At 38.8% G+C, this 20695-nt stretch overlaps 1 protein-coding gene across 25 annotated transcripts in view, besides 2 other annotated features; it reads left to right on the top strand.

The window, feature by feature from the left end:
- LRRC4C (leucine rich repeat containing 4C) overlaps positions 1-20695 on the top strand; it is a 1345454-nt gene that overhangs the window by 1242418 nt on the left and 82341 nt on the right. The gene's annotated exons all lie outside the window — the stretch shown is intronic.
- Positions 12308-13090: an enhancer, noted in NCBI's record as "OCT4-NANOG hESC enhancer chr11:40225695-40226477 (GRCh37/hg19 assembly coordinates)". NCBI's record gives its function as "activates a minimal SCP1, AML or CMV promoter by ChIP-STARR-seq in primed H9 embryonic stem cells {active_cell/tissue: H9 hESC(primed)}" and the evidence as "EXISTENCE:reporter gene assay evidence [ECO:0000049][PMID:30033119]".
- Positions 14154-14749: an enhancer, noted in NCBI's record as "OCT4-NANOG hESC enhancer chr11:40224036-40224631 (GRCh37/hg19 assembly coordinates)". NCBI's record gives its function as "activates a minimal SCP1, AML or CMV promoter by ChIP-STARR-seq in primed H9 embryonic stem cells {active_cell/tissue: H9 hESC(primed)}" and the evidence as "EXISTENCE:reporter gene assay evidence [ECO:0000049][PMID:30033119]".

Here is a 20695-nt window from a genome sequence, read left to right as displayed (position 1 = left end):
TGAGATAATTCATGTAAAACACACAGAACAATGCTTAGAACAGAGTAAGCACTCTATACATATTAACGCTTATTAATTAAAGGTCTGCATATGTACATAGATAAAAAAATTGTTAATTCCATGTAGCTTAATAAAATAGATTTTCTAAGCTTCGTGTTCTTTCACCCTTTCCAACCACATCACTCTTAAATTTTAGTCTTCACTAATTTACAGATTATGTGCAACCAGATACCATTATTAATGAGCTTAAAGGAAAATTAATTAGCTGCCTAATGACTTCCTTCCTCAGAACTGAAAATGATCCTGGATTTCCTCAGATGCTCTGTGATTGCTGCTCTCTGCCTGTAATCAGTGTTTTCAAAAAGATTGACTTGGCATTTTGCTGTCCATCCCTGAATTCCCCAACCCGCTAAAGAACTTGCGGTCTTCCATGACTCTGATGACCTGTTAGCAAACTGTTACTTTGTGGTGCAGAATATTGACAGGCATGTTGATTATGCCATTTGTTTTCACTTTTGCTTTTTGTTTCATAACTGGGGAAATTCACAGAACGCTTTTATGCTTGTTCTTCCAGTTTCTGGGAATCTCCTGGATCTTTTTCTTGCGGTTCTGTGTTCTTTCTGGGCTATTCTTCCTCCCCTGTCTCCCATTTTCCGCTTCTTAATCTCATTTTAGAAGAGAACTAGCTTGTTCTTATCAAATGATTCATTTGGCCTCTTGAAAACATTGTCTTCCATCTGGAAGAAATAGTCCTGTAGGACAAAAAAATTAAAACTCTATTGAGATGGGGGATTATGATGGCTAATGGAATAACGGGAATCTATTCATCCTCTATCACAAATGAAATGGTCAGATCAGTCTTGGTTACGTACAAGTATTAGTAGCAAATATGAAAGTCACAGTACAGCTGGGATTCCAGTCATAGTAGAAATCTACAGCTTTAGCAGTTACATATTAAAATTTAAAAATGGAAGAAATGCAAGAGGAAAGGGAAGGAGATGAAGACTACATTTTTAAACTTACATAAAAACTTTACCCCAAGTAGTGAGTGATGAGAGCAACACTCCAAGATAATGTATCTAAAAAATTAAGATTTGAAGAGTTATTTTTTAACAAGGAGAATTTCTTTCTTATTTTTCTTATTTGCTCCATTTGCTCCAGTAGTGAAGTTAGGAACCTAACTTTGTGCTTTGCCTTTGCTACTGATTCACAAAAAATACAGATTAATCTCATTACCAGCGTTGAACAAAGAAGGCCATGTTTCTCAGCTCACAGATCTTTTCCCTCTCAGTATTCTTGAATGCTCTGCAAATTTCCCTCTCTGTTCTTTGGCCTTTGGGCTTGCCAAAGAGTGTCCATTCTTTGAGCTCTCTCTCCTTAGGCTTTTTGCCTTCTTAGCGGTTCTTAATTCTCTTCTTTGTTTCTTTCTTGAGCCAGTCCTGAGCTTGGTCCTCTCCCAGACTGCCTTTGTGTTTGCACTCTATGTGGAAATTTCCATGGGCCCTCTCATATTTATGCAGTCAAGACCAAGGGCATGTCTTTTATTTCTTTCTTGGACCCAGCAGGGGTTTCCTGCCTGTTTTTGTACGTCAGTTTCTGAGTTAATTGGGCTAATCAATCTAACAAATTTTCCTTAAGTTGTCCAACACCAAGGGCTATCTGGACAACAGTTATTGCAGCTAATCAGTGGAACCCCTAAGGATAGAATTTAGTTTTACTGGGCATGATTTAAAAGCCTGTTTCACCCTCTGAAAATAATTTCTGCCATTCTACAATTTATTGGATGTCTGAAAAATATACTTGAAAATGGTAAAATTGTGGATGTGAAAATGCTTAGTAGAGAAAGATGGATATTCAGGCAAGCATAGAGGTTACAGGGTGGAGAGCACTGAACAGCGTTCAGGAAACTTTGCACTTTGCCTTTGCTACTGATTAGCTTAGTACCTCTCAGCAGCTCCTTGAACTTCATCTTTCTCATCTGTAAAGTGGAGATAATATTATGTCGTGATTATAGTGTAGAGAATTTTAATTAGAGATAGACTGTGAAAGTATTTTTTGAAAAATTAGACTCAAAATTGGGATGCTGGTAGTGGACACAGAATAGAAAGAAGAGCAGGAATAATAGTAATATCATTAGTTGTAGTACTGCTGGAGGGTAACAATCGAAGCATTTGGCACCCAGTGGCAGATTTGCATCATTGATTAATGTCAATTATGCAGACAGGAGTAAGGACTTCCAGGTCCCTTCACACAGGCTGCGCACAGTACAACTCCAGGGAGTACCAGCAACACCTTTAATGTAAAATGTGAGCTCACTAGCTCTTTAATGATTCCTCCAATTATTTTTCAGACATTTTTGGACACAATGACTAGACATGGCTTAGCGGGGAAAAAAAGGGCAAAGAAAACCTTTGGAGTGAATTAGTCTGCCTGGGCCACCATAACAAAATACCACAGACTTGGTGGTTTAAACAACAAAAATTAATATTTTTACAGTTCTGGAGGCTGGGAGTCTGGGATCAGGATGCCAGCACAGGGGCTTTTGGTGAGGGCTGTCTTACTGACTTGCACATGCCAATCTTCTGGTAGTGTGCTTACACAGCAGGGAGAGAGTGAGCTCTCTGGTATCTTATTTTATAAGGACACTAATCCTTTTCCTACTCTGATGACCTCATTTAACCTTGATTACTCCTTATCTCTAAATACAGTAACTTTTGGGCTTTGGGCTCCAACAAATGAATTAGGGAGTATTTTGAGGTAGGCAGGCCTATGCAAATCTACCCCAAAGTCAAAGGAAGTTGAGAGGCCAAAGAAAGGGCTCACAAATCCAGTTTCTTAAAAAGAAATATGTAATAGGGACTTAGGAACAGAATATGTCTCAGGTAGGGACAAGACAAGACAGTCTCGCAAGAATGGATCCCAGGTATATAATCCCCCAAACCCAGGGATTATATACCATAGGGGAAGGGCACATGTGCTTCAGAGGGAATGTGTAAGAATTTGCCATAAGGACAGGATTTACATAAGTACATGCTCTTATATAAGGAACAGTAGATAAACTGGAAATTTCAAAGGCCTTCCCAGAACTGCGGTTAATCAGAAGCTAACATGGCAGGTAAGCATCAAAGATGGAGTTGCTCCAGCCTCCACAGGGGGAAAGGTGACACAATTTAGTCCACAGCATGGAGTAAGACAGATCTGAGTTTAACTTTTGTTTACTAACAATGGGATTAAATTCTCTTATTGCCATTTTCTAGCTGTGTGAGGTTGAGCAAGTACTCAAACTCTCTTTGAGCTCCTTTTTTTTTCTCATTTTCAATTTGGGATCATACGATCTACCATATTGTTTGTAGTAAGGATGACCAAGTATGTAACATATATGATAGAAAACTTGGCACATATTAGATGCTTAATCAATACAGCAATCAGTAGGAAGAAAGGAAACTCATTCTTAATGTATCCAATGCTCCAACCTCATTCTGTCACTTGAAATTAAATATGCCTGTGTCACTTCAGATGAAATCTGTCTGAGCTCTCTGAGTAGGGAGATTATCTGATTATCTACCAGATGTAGATATATCTATATCTACTACATACGTGTATAGTAGATACCACAGCTACCATTCTGATTTTATGACAGAAGACGGATCTTGGGAATCAGGGTGGCCATATAATGTTCCTTTGTTTTGGCTACTAGGAAGGGGAGACCACAATAATTTGGAGGAATTCTGTTAAGATCATTCAGCTACTCAATAGCAGCACCATGATTCTTGGCCTCTTGACTCCAATCTGCTGTTTTTTAAATTATTCCAGTAGTTCCCAACATTTTGTCCAGCGTGACATATTCAACTGGTGATGGTCACACAACATATCCCTACGGGTGCTGGCAATACTCAGTGCCATCATGTTAGCCAAATACCATTCCTTTTGCCCTTACATGAAGAAGAAGACCAAAATCCAAGTAAGAGAGAAAAGCTATTAATAGGCATAACTGAATATCTTCTACTGGTAAGATTGTGGACATTATTTCCAAACTTTGCTGCTCTAACAGTACTACATTATTGTAGTACTTGAGACACTTCAAAATATTGGCCCAGCTGCATTCTGCGAAATGGGTCAAGATTTGTGGCTCTAAGTTGAGTTTTGCTCCGAAGTTATGGTCCTTTTGTTAAAAGGACAGGACAAGAAAGTACTTCCAGGTGGTGCTGGCATTATGGTTCTGAGATGTTTGGCCTATACCTTGATATTTAATTCCCATTCTTGGTAGCCTGGGAATCATTTTCTAGTTTCCTTTATTTAGCAGAATTTCCAACTCAGCCATTTCACTAACACTTCTTGGTGATTGCTCCCCAAGTTACTGCTGCTTCCCAGCTGTTTGCCAGTGGTAACAAAGTTTGAAGGCTAAGCACACAGAGTCTGAAACTACCCTGCTTGGATTCCAATCTTGACGTCGGTATTGAATAGGTATGTGACCTTGTACAAGTTACTTAGCATCCTTGCACCTCTGTTTTCTCTTCTGACAAATGAAGTACGCCCCTCATGTGTCTGCTGTGTTGTTTACATAATTTAATATAGGTAAAGAGCTTATTAGAATGGCACACATAATGGATGCTGTTGGAAGTGCTGGATATATTATTATTTTTTCACTGGGAGCAAAGACCCAATCTAACTCTTTGTACATATTGGAAGAGATATAACATTTCATTTATAATTCCTAGTTGCTTCAGAAGTTTGTTAATATTCCTATAGTTTTTTTTTTTTTTAATTTTGCTTGTGTTTGTCTTGCCTGGGCCCTTGTAAAAGTTGTGTGTTTTTACATACTACTAAAAGTAGTTTCTAATCTGAGCATGTAATTACCCTGGGTGCTTTGCTCCTAAATCCCCAACAAGCATTGAGTTTGTTTTTCAGAGCCACTGTGCTTAATTAATATTTATGCAGGACTTAGTAAAATCATGAAAATTAACAGATGTCCTTACCTAGAACAGGTGGTGAATATATCAACAACTGCAACAAGAACAATGATGATACAATAGTACTTTTTAGATGGATCAAAATTACTACTGAGTGGAAACATGGTTTCCACATTTACTACTCAATCTGGTAAACATACTGTCAGGCAAATAAACATGACTCTTAGAATAATTTAAGATATTCACGTGACATATGAACTTTACTTCAATGTATATAAACAGAAAACTAAAAATAACAGCATCATCAGCACATAGGGTTTATTCTGTCCCATGGAGAAGTCTGGAAATAATGCAGAGAGGGTATGATAGCTACACAAAATCACCAGGGATCCAGGCATCTTCCATCTCTCTGTCCCAACATTCTAATACAAAGCTCTCAGTCTCAAAGTAAAAACATGATCCACAGTGACCGCTAAAGCTCCAGCCATCATATCAACATTTCGGGAAGCAGAAAGGAAAAATGGAGAAATCACATTATGATGTTATCTCTAGTCTGAATTTACATCTTTAAAGCATCATTCTTGGAATGTTTACCTGACATTTTGGCTTATATCTCATTTGGCCAGAACTTAGTCATATAACTACACCTGGGTACAAGATTCTGGGAAACAAAGTATTATATTTGGGGCTCAGTGTAGGCCCCAAAGCAAACCTACCATTTTACTAAAGCAAAGGGAAATATGACCTTTGGACACAATGAGCAAATTTAAAATTAGCTTTTTTATTTTGAATTTCTGTACTTTGATGATTTTCCTTATTGTTTACATTTTTAGATATAGTTACTTCTTTTGAAGCATTTTCTCAGTCTTGAAGTCTGTTTACAATTAAATAATGATTTTGTTTGTTTTAGTTTTATTCAAGTTTTTTTAAATATACACCACTTGCTTTCAAAAAGAACTGAGAAAAATTCCCATAAAAGCACATATCTAACAGAGAAGCTTATTTTCTCGTTATCTATTTAATAAAAACTTACTGTTTATCTTCTTATGTGCCAAGCACGGGTTTAGGTACAGGGAATAGGAGTAAGCAACACAAGATATCATCTAATATGGGACTTACATATTGATGGGGAAAGATACAATGAAATCTATAATATAATTTCAGGTTCTGATAAGTAAAGTACTGCAAGATACTTGAGTGTATTGCAAGGTACTTGAGTATGTTGCATGATAAGATATGGTATTTTTTGGCTGGGAGCAGTTGCTCAGGCCTGTGATCCTAGCACTTTGGGAGGCCGAGGCAGGCAGATGACTTTAGATCAGGAGTTTGAAACCAACCTGGCCAACATGGTGAAATCCCGTCTCTACTAAAAATACAAAAAAAAATTAGCCAGGCATGGTGGCAGGCACCTGTAATCCCAGTTACACAGGAAGCTGAGGCAGGAGAATCACTTGAACCCGGGAGGCGGAGCTTGCAGTGACCTGAGATGATGCCACTGCACTCCAGCCAGGGTGACAGAGTGAGACTCTATCTCAAAAGAAAAGAAAAAGTTGTATTTTTTACAAAATGGTTAAGGTAGACATTCCGAGTGAGAGAGACAAGCAATACAAATGCTCTCAAGGAATTGTTCTTACAGGAGCTTGTCCTTGTGCTCAGGAACAACAAGGAGGGCAAAGAAGCTGGAGTCCCAGGATGGAAAGGGTGAGTTGTAGGAGACGATTTCAATAGATGCAGGGATCAGAGCCACGTAGCCCAAGAAGGGAGATAATTTTTCAAAACTTTGAAGAAGACAGCCAGCATCCTGCAGCAGGTAAAGCAAAATAGAAAGCTGAACACTCTTTTACTGTTCATTTTCCTCTTTTTCCATTTACCAGTTATTTAATAATTGCCTACTCTATATGAGACCCTTCATTAGGTCCAGAAGATAACACATGAATAATAAGAAATATTCTCTGTGCTCAAGGTTTTTACTTTCTATAGATTTGAGACAAGCCCAGAAAGCTTATAAGCTCTAAACTTTATATTGCATATCCAGCAGGTGTTTTTTGGTTTTTGTTTTTTGTTTTTTTTTTGAGACGGAGTCTCGCTCTGTCGCCCAGGCCGATCTTGGCTCACTGCAAGCTCCGCCTCCTGGGTTCATGCCATTCTCCTGCCTCAGCCTTGAGAGTTTTTTTTTTATATATATTCTTTTCTACATAATGGAATCTTTATACACAAATAAATCTTGAAAACCATAGCTTAACTCTTAAGTTTATTTGTCTTCATTCTTGAAGACATAGAAATCTTCATCCCACTCTTGAACCTGTCTCACATCTCTTCCTAAAGGATCCTGTACTATCCAAGTGTGTGATGTACTACTCTCTCTAACTAGCATGCCCTTCCTTCCTTCTCTAGCAAAGTTTTATTCTTTCTTCAAGGCATCTCCTTTGAAATAATTAACTGCATCTGCTGGTTTTCAACCCAATACTTCTCTTTTATCAGGCATCCTAGTATATTGTTATGATTTATGCTTACATTATTCTTTTTCACTAGAATTAAAGTTCTTGAGGAACAGAATGCAAAGCGTTTTTGTTGTTGAATCTCTCATATCCAGCAAAGTGCCTGACACATGGGTAGTGTTAAAAATATTTTTGTCACACCTGTAGTCCCAGCTACTTGGGAGGCTGAGGCATGAGAATCGTTTGAACCCAGGAGGCAGAGGTTGCCGTGAGCCGAGATCGCACCAGTGTATTCCAGCCTGGGTGACAGAGCGAGACTCCATCTCAAAAATATGTATATATATTTTTGTTAGATGATCAAACGTCCCATCAAAAAAGAGGCTAATGTTTGGAGTAAATAGAAAATTCCCAAATTGTACTTTGATTGTATATTATTTTCTCTCCAAGATTGATTATTTCAAGGAAAGCCTTTAGCCTTTATCACCAGTTATTACTAAGTAAAATGTGTGTATTTTCATATTCCAATTTAATCTTCTGCATTGTTTACTATTTATATCTTTTGAAGAATCTACTAGAGGACCTTATATTCCTGCATATTTATTGAATTGAAACCACTTAGATTTAATTCATTTTATGATGGACAGTAGAAACACGGCTGTTGTGAAACAGCTACCTTGGGGGAAGCATAAACCCTGGAACAGCCTTATGTTTATAAATATACTAATTTATGTACTAGACCACAAGCTCTTCACTAGTGTGTGAATCCCTTAAGGACAGGGAATGTGCCTTATTCATTTTCACATGTCCTTTGTAAATTGCCGGGATACAGGTGCACAATCCTTTATTTGAAATCTTTAGGGGAAGTGGTGTGCCGACAAATGTTTAACAACTGACCCTCAGGAAGAAACACACACACACACACACACACACACACACACGTGCACAAAAGAAAGCCCTGATTTGGAGCATTTGACTGTTTTCTTGTGTAAATACCATCCCCCTTGGCTAATTTTAAACTACCGAGTTGAAGTCGGTGAATGTGAAGTTTGGAAGAAATGTAAACAATTGACCAAACCATAAGCTGACTCTAGGAAAACATCAATAGGGAACTAAAGGAGTTTTAGATCTCAAAAGATTTCTGATTTTAAGAGGCTAATACATGCATATGTTATATATGAGGTATCTGGGGCAATACTTGTAATAACATGTATTAATATTTATGCAGCAAAATAAATGAATATTCATACTAACAGGGATATATAAGCACCAGACATTGGAAAAATAGCTTTCAGTTGTCAGGGCTTTTTTTTCCCCTGCTTGTTTTTTCCCTGCTTGTTTTCCCTGCTTGTTTTCAATTTAGAATTACATATAAGATACCAGGACTCTACTTCAATACTAAAAAAAATTAGTACTTCAATGGAAACGTATTCATGATTTATATCACACCAATCCAGGATATTCAGTTCTAGTCCTATTATTGCCTTTAAGCTGTTTTGCACATCTGTAAATTGTAGGTATCTGACTGGTATGCAAATTCTGTCTTTTCCAGTAGAATTTCAATTGACTTCCCTCCCTCCCAGTGGAAAAATCACTTTGTCTTCATTTGCAATTTGCTCAACATTCGTTTACTCCATGTAATTTTGTAGTGTTTTGACTTTTCCTTTAAACTGGTATAGCGTCTGCTTGATTTCCTCATATCATATGAGCAAAATAAATTATTGAACTCATGTTCATTTTTATATGTGCATAAGGGTCATGATTGTACTTTTTTCTGAAAATTTCTTTTAACACAATACAGGAAAGAAATCAGATATGTTCTAGAAAGCTTCTGAAGGCAGAACATGGACTGATGTAGTATCATAAGCAAGTAGGTTTCCTTAGTGTCCCGTAGTATTGTCAGAAATGAAGAGGCAGGAAGCAGTGGTGTGGGCTTCGCTGGAAGTTGATTCCTTCACTCAGAGTGCTCCATTGAGGCTCTGTACCTCTGACTGCCATATGTAAAGGGTGCTGTGGAACTGGATGGAATGCTATCTTTAAAGCTTAAGTCTAATTTTTCATGGTTCTAACTCTTCAACTGAGTGTGAATCAAGTGAAATAGAAACACTCAGTAAATCATTAATTAACCTAAGATGACCAGGAGCTTGGATGAACAGATGACCACACACTTGGCTGATGAACTCTTAAAATTCCTTAAAAATAAGTTCTGTTTCAGGAAAGCAAGGATGTTTTAATCATCAGAAAAGTATCTCTTGCCATCCCTTGACTCTCCTATTTCTTTGTTTTTGAGACAGTATCTCACTCTGTTGCCCAGGCTAGAGTGGCAGTGGCATGATCATTGCTCACTGCAACCTCAAGCTCCTGGGCTTAAGCTGTCCTCCTGCCTCAGCCTCTGGAGTAACTAGGACTACAGGTGTGCATCACCACACATGACTAATTTTTAAATCATTTGTAGGGATGGAATCTTGCTATATTGCTTCCCTGGGCTGGTTTTGAACTCTGGGCCTCAAGCAGTTCTCCTGTCTCAGCTCCCCAAAGTGCTAGGATTAAGGCCTCTTATCCTTTAAAACCATAATGCCTGGCTTTATGCACAATTGTGTCCGATTCACAATTTTCCACAGCATGGAAAGCAGCTGTAACTGTGTTTATATTCCGTCACCCAAACTTCTTATTCTACCTCCAAACGAATCCATTTGCAAGAACATCAAAGGAGAGAAAAAATGCCATTTCAGCTACAATGACAGTTCCGTACAATATATTAAGATTGATCAAGGCTTGGTAATGAGTTCGTGAATATTGGCCTTCTTTCTGGAACTGAAATGATTTGGGGTCTGAGAGATTGAATTGTTTGATGTATGGAGGGCTGCCATCACTGTTTCTTACAAGGAAATAATCTGTCTAGGGTTGTGTTTGTTTGTTTGTTTGTTTGTTTGTTTGTGAGTGTGCATAGTGTCCCCTTCCCCCAGGTTTATGCCTCTTATCTATTGCCTATAATGCAGAAGTCATTCTTACCAGAGCCAAATCTAATGAGTATATGAATTCTATCTGTTAAGAACAAAAAGAGAGCTAGTGAAATGCAAATTTGGTCCTTCCCCACCCCCAACACTTCCACATACATGTACATTCACATACTAAATCCTAACAGTAGCATGATTTAGAATCCCTCTTGTATGTCCCACCAAATAACCAGAATTGACACACATCTTTAATAGACATGGACTCTGGGACTCTAGGTCTAATTGCATACCCAAAGTCATTCCAATCAGATGTACATTCACCATTCAGGAGGGATTATTTTTCCACATCCTGCATTGAACAATTACTTAACCTGCCTGAAAAATGGCAATAGGCCAGGTGCGGTGGCTCACTCCTGTAATCCCAGCACTTTGGGAGGCCGAGGCAGGTGGATCATTTAAGGTCAGGAGTTTCAGACCAGCCTGGCCATCACGGTGAAACCCTGTCTCTACTAAAAAAAAAAATACAAAAATTAGCTGGGCATGATGGCAGGTGCCTGTAATCCCAGGTACTCGGCAGGCTGAGGCAGGAGAATTGCCGGAACCTGGGAGGCGGAGGTTGCAGTGAGCCGAGATTGCCCTACTGCACTCCAGCCTGGGCGACAAGAGTGAGACTCCATCTCAAAAGAAAAAAAAGAAAAATGGAAATAAATATCCATCCCATTCTCTGTCCTATAAAATTGTTGGGAAGATTACCTCAATTAATTTTCTCAATTTTTATATCTTTATATTTATTGAGATATATGATGTGTTAGGCACTATACTGCTTATTATAGGCTAATAAGATAAATAACTTTGCCCTTGAAGAGCTCTAAGCCTAGGATACAAGGTACTGTCAGTACATAGTTCTATAAAATTATTTTGAAAATATATTTCAGAAGAAAGATACAAATAAAATATATGTTGTGAAAATAAAATATTACTTTTGAATATAAGGGAGCTGTGAAAAAGGAGCAACAGAGATTGCTCAAGTAATACCTTTTTAGAAAGAAAAAGGTACTTAATGAGCTTGTGATTTCCATCTTTTCAGTGAGAACCAAGCGGGCCTCTCAGGGTCAACTATTAACATACTTGTAACTTAATGATATTTTCTTTGATGAAGAACCTAGTTGGTCAAATAATAAAATAACCTGATTACCTGACTGACTGATTACCCCTTAATTTTAAAAATCATGCTGAATATTTTGACAGGGGTGAGAACGTGGGAAAACATTCAAAATAGGAGAATGTCTAGACCTTAGAGAGATGAAACTTCAAGTAGTGAAAGGAGGGAGGGTGAATATGAGTATATATAGCAAAGTCTGCAGGAGAAAAATAGAATTTTTAAAATAAAACTAATGTTATGAACATCATCGAGTTTTCAAGGTCATGACTGTAGTCTAGAAAAAAAATTACTAGCTATTATTCTTCTCACCCCCGTAATTGAATATATAGTGTTTTTTTCTTGAGGGTTTTAATGAGATAAAAGTACCAAGTCTTGGTATCCTTTCCCTGGGCTGCTCAAACCTCACATAGATTGCTTTTATTTATAGGGTTAAGAAAACATTACTGAAAGCTGAATGCATTTGTAATTCATTCTGAGGATACCTGATCTGTGGGTTATATCCTGAATTATCACACCGTAAATTTTATTTTTCTCAGGTAAAACAAAACCCCTTTAGTTGCCTCTTCTATACCTGGAGTTACTATATCTTCAGGCACTCCCTTAGGGAGATCCTTTGACAAAGACAAATATGAACCTAAGGCTCAGCACCTTCTGTGAAGGCCCTGGGAAGGTTTAACCTGGAGCAGAGAAGCTTTCTTCAGATATTTAAAGGATGTGTAAAATATTAGGCATATTCTATACAGACCCCAAGGGTAGAACCATGATCAGTGGGTAGAATTCCTAGTGAGACAGATTGTGCTTCCTTGTAGGGAAGAATTGTCTAAGGTCAGGGTTGATGAAGGAAAGAATGAATACCCAAGAAGATAGGTGCTGGGACCCCTGCTCATGTCCAGAAACCTTTAAGTATCAGCAGCGAAAATTGCACTGGCCAAAGCTAAGCAGGCAAGGAAGTTTATTCAAGGATATTGCAATAGGGAGTGGAAGCTAGAACTAAATCTAGACTCAACTCTCTGCTGAAGAACGGGAAGGGTTTTTCTAAGAGTTGGGTGAGCTCGGGAAAAAGGCCTGGAGGTTGTTAAGGGGAAGTCATAAGCCATCTGTATTTATCAATTGTCTTTATCCAAAGGGAAAATACACTTTCCTTGTCTTTATGATAGAAGGTAGTTTTGCAACTTAGAATAAGGCAGGAATGTTCAACTCTCAGAAAAACTGGGAGATAGCGATGCTGTCTCCTTGTTGATTACATTTCAAAGAGATGGCTCCTAGGTCCTTGAGAGAGGTTGCAAAACTGACAAGAGGCTTTTAAAAAGATTTACATGTCAAAGGGGCAGAGAAAGGATTTATAATTACATGTTTTCTAAAGTAAATGCTATAAGGAAAGGGACATTAGGGACCTAGAGTCAGGAAGAAGCCTGCTTAAGGCTTAGGCAAGCTGAAGGAAAGGATAAGGCTGCTGGGTCAAGCACGTAGGAGGGATGTTGTAACCAAAAGTCAAGTGTAGAATGGGTGGTCTGAAAGGATCACCATTAAAATATCTTCCTGGACTAGCAGGGGACTCACATCTGTAATCCCAGTATTCTGGGAGGCTGAGGTGGGAGAATTGCTTGAGGTTAGGCATTCCAGACCAGCCTGGGTAAGTAACATGGTGAGACCGCCCCCCACCACCCATCTCTACAAAATATCAGCCAGGCATGGTGGTACACACCTGTAGTCCCAGTTACTTGGGAGGTTGAGGTGTGATGGTCTCTTGAGCCCAGGAGTTTGAGGCTGCAGTGAGCTATGATTGTGCCACTGCAGTCCAGCCTGGGCAACACAGTGAGACTCTATCTCTAAAAACAGTAAATAAAATAAGATAAAATATCTTAAAGATCTCAGATTTCCTGTGTCTGCACTTTAGCTAAAAAGATCAGGAAATGGGGAGCAGCTCACAAGGAATTCCATTCATTTAGATATTTATCCAGTCAGTGCTTCCACATTGTTTAGATGAAATGCCTGCATTTTTAGTGAGGGAGCTTGGATCGGTCTGAAATCTAGAGGCCCCATTTTCAAGTGAGATTCTGTTTCATACTAATTATTTTTCCTTCATTATGGCTTCCTTCCAGGACCCCAAATCATTTCCCTTTTCTGTTTGTAGAATTCAGGGATTTAAAAGTTCATGTTTTTGCAGTTGCATTCATCAGCATTAGGTAGAAACATTTGGTGGCACTGCTAATAAATTGTGAGCTTCTACTTTTAGTAACCAACTACCTCACTCAGGTTAAGGAAACCCAGGCATTATGAAGCTAATTAAACATAGTAAACATCCCCTCGGTTTTTTGCATTTGAATGGAAGAAAGGTATAAAAGTCAACAAAGCCTGTTTTATGCTTGTTTAAGAGTTTTGATGATAAGAGAAGAGGAAAAATATCACTAGAGCATTTATTTACCCTGCTCTTAAAAGGCTTTCAGATATAGTTTGTAGCTTTTGTTTTTATTAAATGTTGTGGTTCTTTATTGTATATTAATATTAATGGAGTTGCTGCCACTAAACTCACGGCCTATCCATATCATTTCAGACTGATTGGAATTGAAGGTGGGTGAACTTCAGTTCTTTCAGGGAGCCACAAATAAAAATACCCAGTAACAAAGGGATGATTGAATTTCCCAATAGAGTCTGTGCAAGGCTTGCTAATTTAGAGGGGCATTTTCAAATATTACAGTGGCTAGGATTTCCCTGGGGAGTTCACTTGGGCACAGCCAGTGAATCAGTGTTTAAATGACATTATTTTTAGAATGATTTGCAAGAAAGGACAAAAAAAAGTAAATAGATGATTTTATAATTAATATTTGAAGTGACTTGCAAGTGCAAATCATGCAAGACCCATTTGTCTCTTGGAGAGGCAGCTGAGCCCTCTTCTGTCCTGCTCTGCAGGATGTTAGGTCAGGGAAAATGCTCCTGGAGTAAAGCAGTGAATTTGCCTAACAGCTTCCCCGTTAAATGGCCAAGCTTTGATTATTACCCTTGATAGCTTTGCCCCTTCCCTTATTGCACAGATCCCTGCAGGCTGGTTTGAGATTGCTCCTCAGCTGAGGAGCAACCATAATTGGAAAAGATAACTGACCATCACACAGGATCTGTGGACATTTGTCAACTGCTGTCATCCTTACAGAGCTAGAAATGGCCCTTCCCCTATTCGGGAAATTAAGTCCACAAAGAGTTTTAGAATTTGGGACCTCTAAGCTTAGTCTAGCCCAACTCATTCATTTTACACAAAGGAAAATAAGGCCCAGAAAGTTTATGTGACCTGCATATGGTGGTATAATGTGTTGGGCACAGAGGGAGAATTATAACTCAGCTTTCCTCTCCCTGCTTGACTTTCCCTTCACCTGACACCATTTCTTTGTGATTAATTTTCTCAAGGTTAGAGGATAAGTTGGGGCTGATGTGTGAGTGGGAACACAGTTGTTAATCAGCTATTAAAAAAAAACAAAAACAAAAAAAACCTGCCTACTTTGGACAGCCTCCCTCTGGCCAGCCAAGTGTGGAATCCCTCTTTTTTTTTTTTTTTTTTTTTTTTTGGTAATCACACAGGACCCTCCGAGGAAGCCTGTCCCTATGCTTTACTGAAAAGCTATTTCCCAAGTGTTGTTTTCCTTAATGATCCCAACCACTCTGATTGTCTCTTGCTGTTATACATATGGGAAAATCATGGCCAGAGGTGTTCAACACCTTGCCCAAAATCCATAGCTTATAAGTGTAGGAAATGAGATTTGAACAAAGATCTTTGTGATTCTAACACCTTGGGTCTCTAGCCAAAATTATATGTTAATTTGGCCTCATTCTCACTTTCATCTAAACAACTGATTTAGCCAAATGTAAGGTGTGATTCAAACTGGTGTGTAGTGAGGGCCATGCGAGGTGGCATTTGTTGCCTGGAAACTTCTTCCTTCATTTTCTACCCCACGTTTCCTCTTGGGTATTCCAGCCTAAGTTTACTTCTGTTCTTTCCCCATGTAGCTGTGGAGACAAGCACCTATTCTAAAATCACTGCTCCCTCTAGAATGGATTTCCCTCTCTGCCTCTTTATAAAGCCTTAAAGCAGGTATTGTTCAAAATGGACATCTGAGTTCTTATGGGAGTTCTATGGGTCATTCTTACATCTGCGCTTCCATGGGGTCTGCAGACTTTACTGACCCTTTGAGAGAGGAAGGCACCAGCTCGTGGGTGGAGTTGTTGAATAGAAGGCGTTCACTTCCACTGCTGAGGGGGAAAACAAGAAAGCCTCTTTCTTCCAGTTAGTTTGGGAAGATAAAAGTGAAAGGCTTCATTTCGTAGAAGTAGAGGAAAAGATTTGTTTAGTTTGTTGCTGTACCTAGTAACAATGATGCATTTCCTTTTCTTTTCTCAAAAAAAGGGCTTAAAAACAAAAACAAAAACAAAAACAAAACAGTGAGCCAGTGAGAGAAAGAATGAGTGGTGACTAAGACAAAAAAACAGGGAATCCATAGATTGATGAAATATCTCATTTGCAAACGAAACTCTAAAGAAGGTGAGGTTGGTGCTAATAAGCAGCTCCCACTGCCAAGTGTGAATTTGAAGGCTGAGCCTGGCAAGTTCAGTCGGGTGTGTGCCTTCTGCCTTGCGTGCCTGCAGGATGGATACACTTTTGCATGACTGGAACCAAGACCTCTCATTCTCTCTCTCTTTTTCTCTGTCCTCCCTGCATGCATGTGCACATGAGCATGCATCACATAAACACACACACTACATTCCGCTTCAACTTATTGCATAAAGGTTTGTTCAGCTGGCTACTTCAGAGAGGGTATATTTTCATGAGTAGCAATGGTTTGGTGGAAGAGCCAAGGAAAAAGATGTGACGCTTAGGAGTTCAGATTAGCAATTCAGCTTTACCTGACTTACCAAGGATTCTGTGGTGTTGATTCAGGCTTATCAAAATTTTGAAAGACTGCTTGAAAAACTAGAATTTTTTTTCTTTTCTTTTCTTTTTTTTTTTTTTTTTTTTTTTGAGATGGAGTCTCGCTCTGAAACCCAGTCTGGGGTGCAGTGGCATGACCTCAGCTCACGGCAACCCCCACCTCCTGGGTTCAAGCAATGTATGTATGACCAAAGGTAATAAACTACGGGGAACTGAGAAAGGCATGTTTATTGAGATTTTTCTTCATCTCTCTGTGTAGCATTCTTTTCCTTCAGGTATGCGGCAGGACACCTGTCACATGAAGATCTTATGGCCCATTTTCAGGGATGATGAAAGCTGGCCTTTGTGAATAACCTTCACACAGAAAGGTTGGGGAAAGTCAGAGAATTACCTTTCTGCTTCTGGTGTTTTCTCAATTTCTAAGGTAACGTGTTTTGAAGCAGTGTGTTCTAAGTACCCATAAAAGCTTTATGAAGAGTTTTGTTTTGTTTTGAGATGGAGTCTCGCTCTGTCGCCCAGGCTGGAGTGCAGTGGCGCGATCTCGGCTCACTGCAACCTCCACCTTCCACATTCAAGCAATTCTCCTGCCTCAGCCTCCCGAGTAGCTGGGATTACAGGCACCTGCCACCAAGAATGGCTATTTTTTTTTTTTTTTTTTTTTTTTTTTTTTTTTTTAGTGGAGACAGGCTTTCTCCATTTTGGCCAGGCAAGTCTTGAACTCCTGGCCTCAAGTGATCCACCAGTCTTGGCCTCCCAAAGCGCTGGGATTACAGGCACGAGCCACAGTGCCCAGTTGTATTAAGAGTTTTAATTGACAAGCAGGGATCACTGAGACAGCCACAGAATGACCAAGGCCCTCAGAGGCAGGTGGTCCTGAGTTCCGAGTTTTCTCCAGCATTTATAACTATGTGACCTTGAACCAATTATCCTCTCCAAGTTTGCTTTCTCATCTCGTGGAACATAACACCTACTTTGCAGGATTCTTGTGAGGTTTAAACAAGAGAACATCCCTGGAGTTATCTAGCAGAATATCTGACAGGCTGATTCTCATATTCTGTAATAGCCTGTGCTTTCTGCAAGGAAAATTCCCAGAAGGGAAACTAGTTGGAAAGCAAAATTAATAATAAATTAAAAAAATATATAATCAGATATAGTTCAGCCATCTTAAAGGAATGTTGTATAATTAAACTCTAGAATCTTAATATCTTTATAAAATAACCAGTTGCTTCTATTCTATGTAAGGTGTTCTCTTTCTTGGTCTTTCTGGAGAAATCCACTCATCTGCTCAAGCTAAATGAAGGATGAAAAGGGGAATACTTCAAATATAAATGTCTGTGAAATCATGTCTTAGCTCAAAACCTAGTGGCTCATTGCAATCAGGGTTAAAAACAAAAACAAAAACCTTATTGTTATAAAGACCCACAAGGCCTTATGTAATTGGGACCCCTCCTTCCCCAACAACCACAACAAAATAACCCTTTGCCAGGCTGGGCGCAGTGGTTCACTACTGTAATCCCAGCACTCTGGGATACCGACATGGGTGGATCACTTGAGGTCAGGAGTTCGAGGCCAGCCTGGCCAACATTGTGAAACCGTGTCTCTACAAAAACTACAAAAATCTGCCGGGTGTGGTAGTGGGCACCTGTAATCCCAGCTGCTCAGGAGGCTGAGGCAGGAGAATTGCTTGAACCCAGAAGGCAGAGGTTGCTGTCAGCCAAGATTGCCCCACTGAACTCCAGCCTGGATGACAGAGTGAGACTCCATCTCAAAATAAATAAACAAACAAATAAATAAAAATAACCCTTTGCCCTCAACTTCTGTCTCTCTTCCCCATTACTCTTCTTTAAACATGTCAGGCGTGCTCCTGCCTCGGAATCTTTGTATTTGCCTTCCTGCTACCTAGAACAGTTATTTCCAATATACCCACAAAGTGCATTCTCTCTCACCTCCTTCTGGGGGGAACTTCTAGAGAAGATAATCTTCCACATGGTTTACATTTTTGTATCAGTTTCTGGGAGTGTCCATGTCTGACCTTGTGCCCTGATTCTGAAATCCCCTTTAAGTCCAGATTGACTCCATTTATTATTCAGGCACAAACTAGCATCCATTTAGAAAGCTTGCTGAATAAGCAGACTGGAGGAATGTAAATACATGCAGAATTATTCCATATCTCAGATCCAGAAAGGCCTATGGGCACGGATGGGTGCCTATGCTAAATAAGAGCTGGCATAAATCTTAACCTAGAATTGGAATTTAAAATGGAACTTTATTTGAGCTTCAAAATGGACTTTCTGGAACTCTCTCAAAGGAATAAATAAATAAATATAGAAACGGATTACATGCTATGGTGCATCTTGACATGTAGATTGGGAATATTTGCATTGATATTATAAGAGAGAATATTTGTAGCAGGTATCTGGATATCTCATAACAATTGTTAATCGAGGAGGGAAAGTAAATGAATCGTTGGACTTAGATTTCCACTAATTCAAGTGTGTAGTGGAATTGTGGTGGATCTCAGCTGAAAATAGGTGGCTGTAGATTTATGAGTTAGAATCAGACTTCACTATTTTACGGTACATAAGTGGGTACACAGTTGTAGTACATGGGTGTGTGTCTGTATGTATTTGTCTACATGAAACCAAAGTTCAGGAATGTGTCATTGCAAACATTTAACACTTGTCCGTCCCTTTCGCCTTCCTTTTCTCTCTTCCTGCTTCATTTATATAATCAATGATGCCTGCTCTAAAATCCCTTCCTGGCTCTCACCCCATCTCCACTGCTGCCATATCTGCTGGCACGTGAACTTTTCCCCATCTTCCCACTTATCCTACTTTATTAAAAAGGCTGATAATTTTCTCATTCTTATTAAATGTAAGTTTTATAAGATCAATGATCATGTCTAGCTTGTTTTCTATTATATTCTGAAATAATAATATAGTATTTGGCACATAATAGGTGCTTAATAATACTGACTTCGTGAATGGGTGAATTGATCTAGGGCTGACTAGATATGAAGTACTGTGCTAGATCCTGAAAGGCATTTATCAGAAATTGCTTTTGTTCCCCTGACACTTGAAATGTTGTTGAGATAAAACATACTCTCCTAGCATAGTCTAATGCAATAGATTATATGAAACAAAGTGATTGCTATTATCAGTTCTTGTTAGAAATCAGAGATAAGCCAAATCCTGTGGACTATGTCATGGGGAATGATGGAGTTCTAGAATTTGAATGGAAAGAAAGGGAAAATATGGTGGAACAGCATGAATTTGTGTGACTCAAAATTAGCGATGGGAGAATTTGGATTAGAAGGTAGACTTATTCTACGGAAAGTCCTAAGCGTAAGCTGAGCTGTAAGGCCCTCAACTCAGTAGCTATGTGGAAGCTTTGGTCATTTCTGAGCAAGAAAAGGATATAATGCAATCACCGTTTTAATAAGATTAATATGTGCAGCTGAGTGCAGCATGGATTATCTGTTAGTAAATAAAGCACATGTTTGTGTGAACCTGTGAATTGATATGATAGGTGAGTGCCGGTCTGATTAATTATAAACTCCCATGGGGTCAGATAAGCAGGTAAATGAAGGAGGCTAATCTTGAGGTTAGCACAATTTATGGAGGCTCAAGCTCAAGTGTTATACTTGAGAGAATTATTAGCACAGGAAGCTTCAGCATACACAACGTTAATTTTTCCAGCAGAAATAAACTTCTCAATCAATCCTATAGCTTGTATTTCTGAGTGAAGCTAATAGATTATAAAAGAGTATCGGGTTCTGGATTAGTTATTTTGTTGTGTGTTATTTCTGTTTTACCTATTTGGTGCAAGATGGGGCATGATTTTAACCCTTTCAGTATCCCAATAGTGTGATATTGAATTATCCAATTAGCAAGCAATTTTACCCAGTAAGAAATAATGTGGTCTCCATAGCCAGAAAGCCTTTGGATTTTAATTACAACACTGCCTTCACTAGTGATCTTGGGTAAGTTATAACTTGAGCCCATTTTGCTATAATTATGCTTCAAAGAATCATTAAAAGGATTGTAATTACATTTGTATATACAGAGTAATAGATCTTTTAATATGATAATAATAGCTAATATCTACCTACTATAGGCCAGACACTGTACTTAGAGCCCATGTTCATTATCTCAATTAATTGAGTAGACACTTTTGTAAAATCTTAGATCTACTCTGCCTTTCCAATGAGAAATGTACTCAATAATGCAAATTGTATGTGCTTTGCTTCATGCCATTTGCATACTTGTGCATGTGTATATATGAATGTGTGTGTGCATGTCCATGTGTGTTGTATG

The sequence above is a fragment of the Homo sapiens genome, chromosome 11 (genome assembly GCF_000001405.40).
Source record: "Homo sapiens chromosome 11, GRCh38.p14 Primary Assembly".
NCBI lineage: Eukaryota > Metazoa > Chordata > Mammalia > Primates > Hominidae > Homo > Homo sapiens.
The sequence above is the reverse complement of the archived record's forward strand: the minus strand, read 5'-3'. Positions and strand labels throughout refer to the sequence as shown.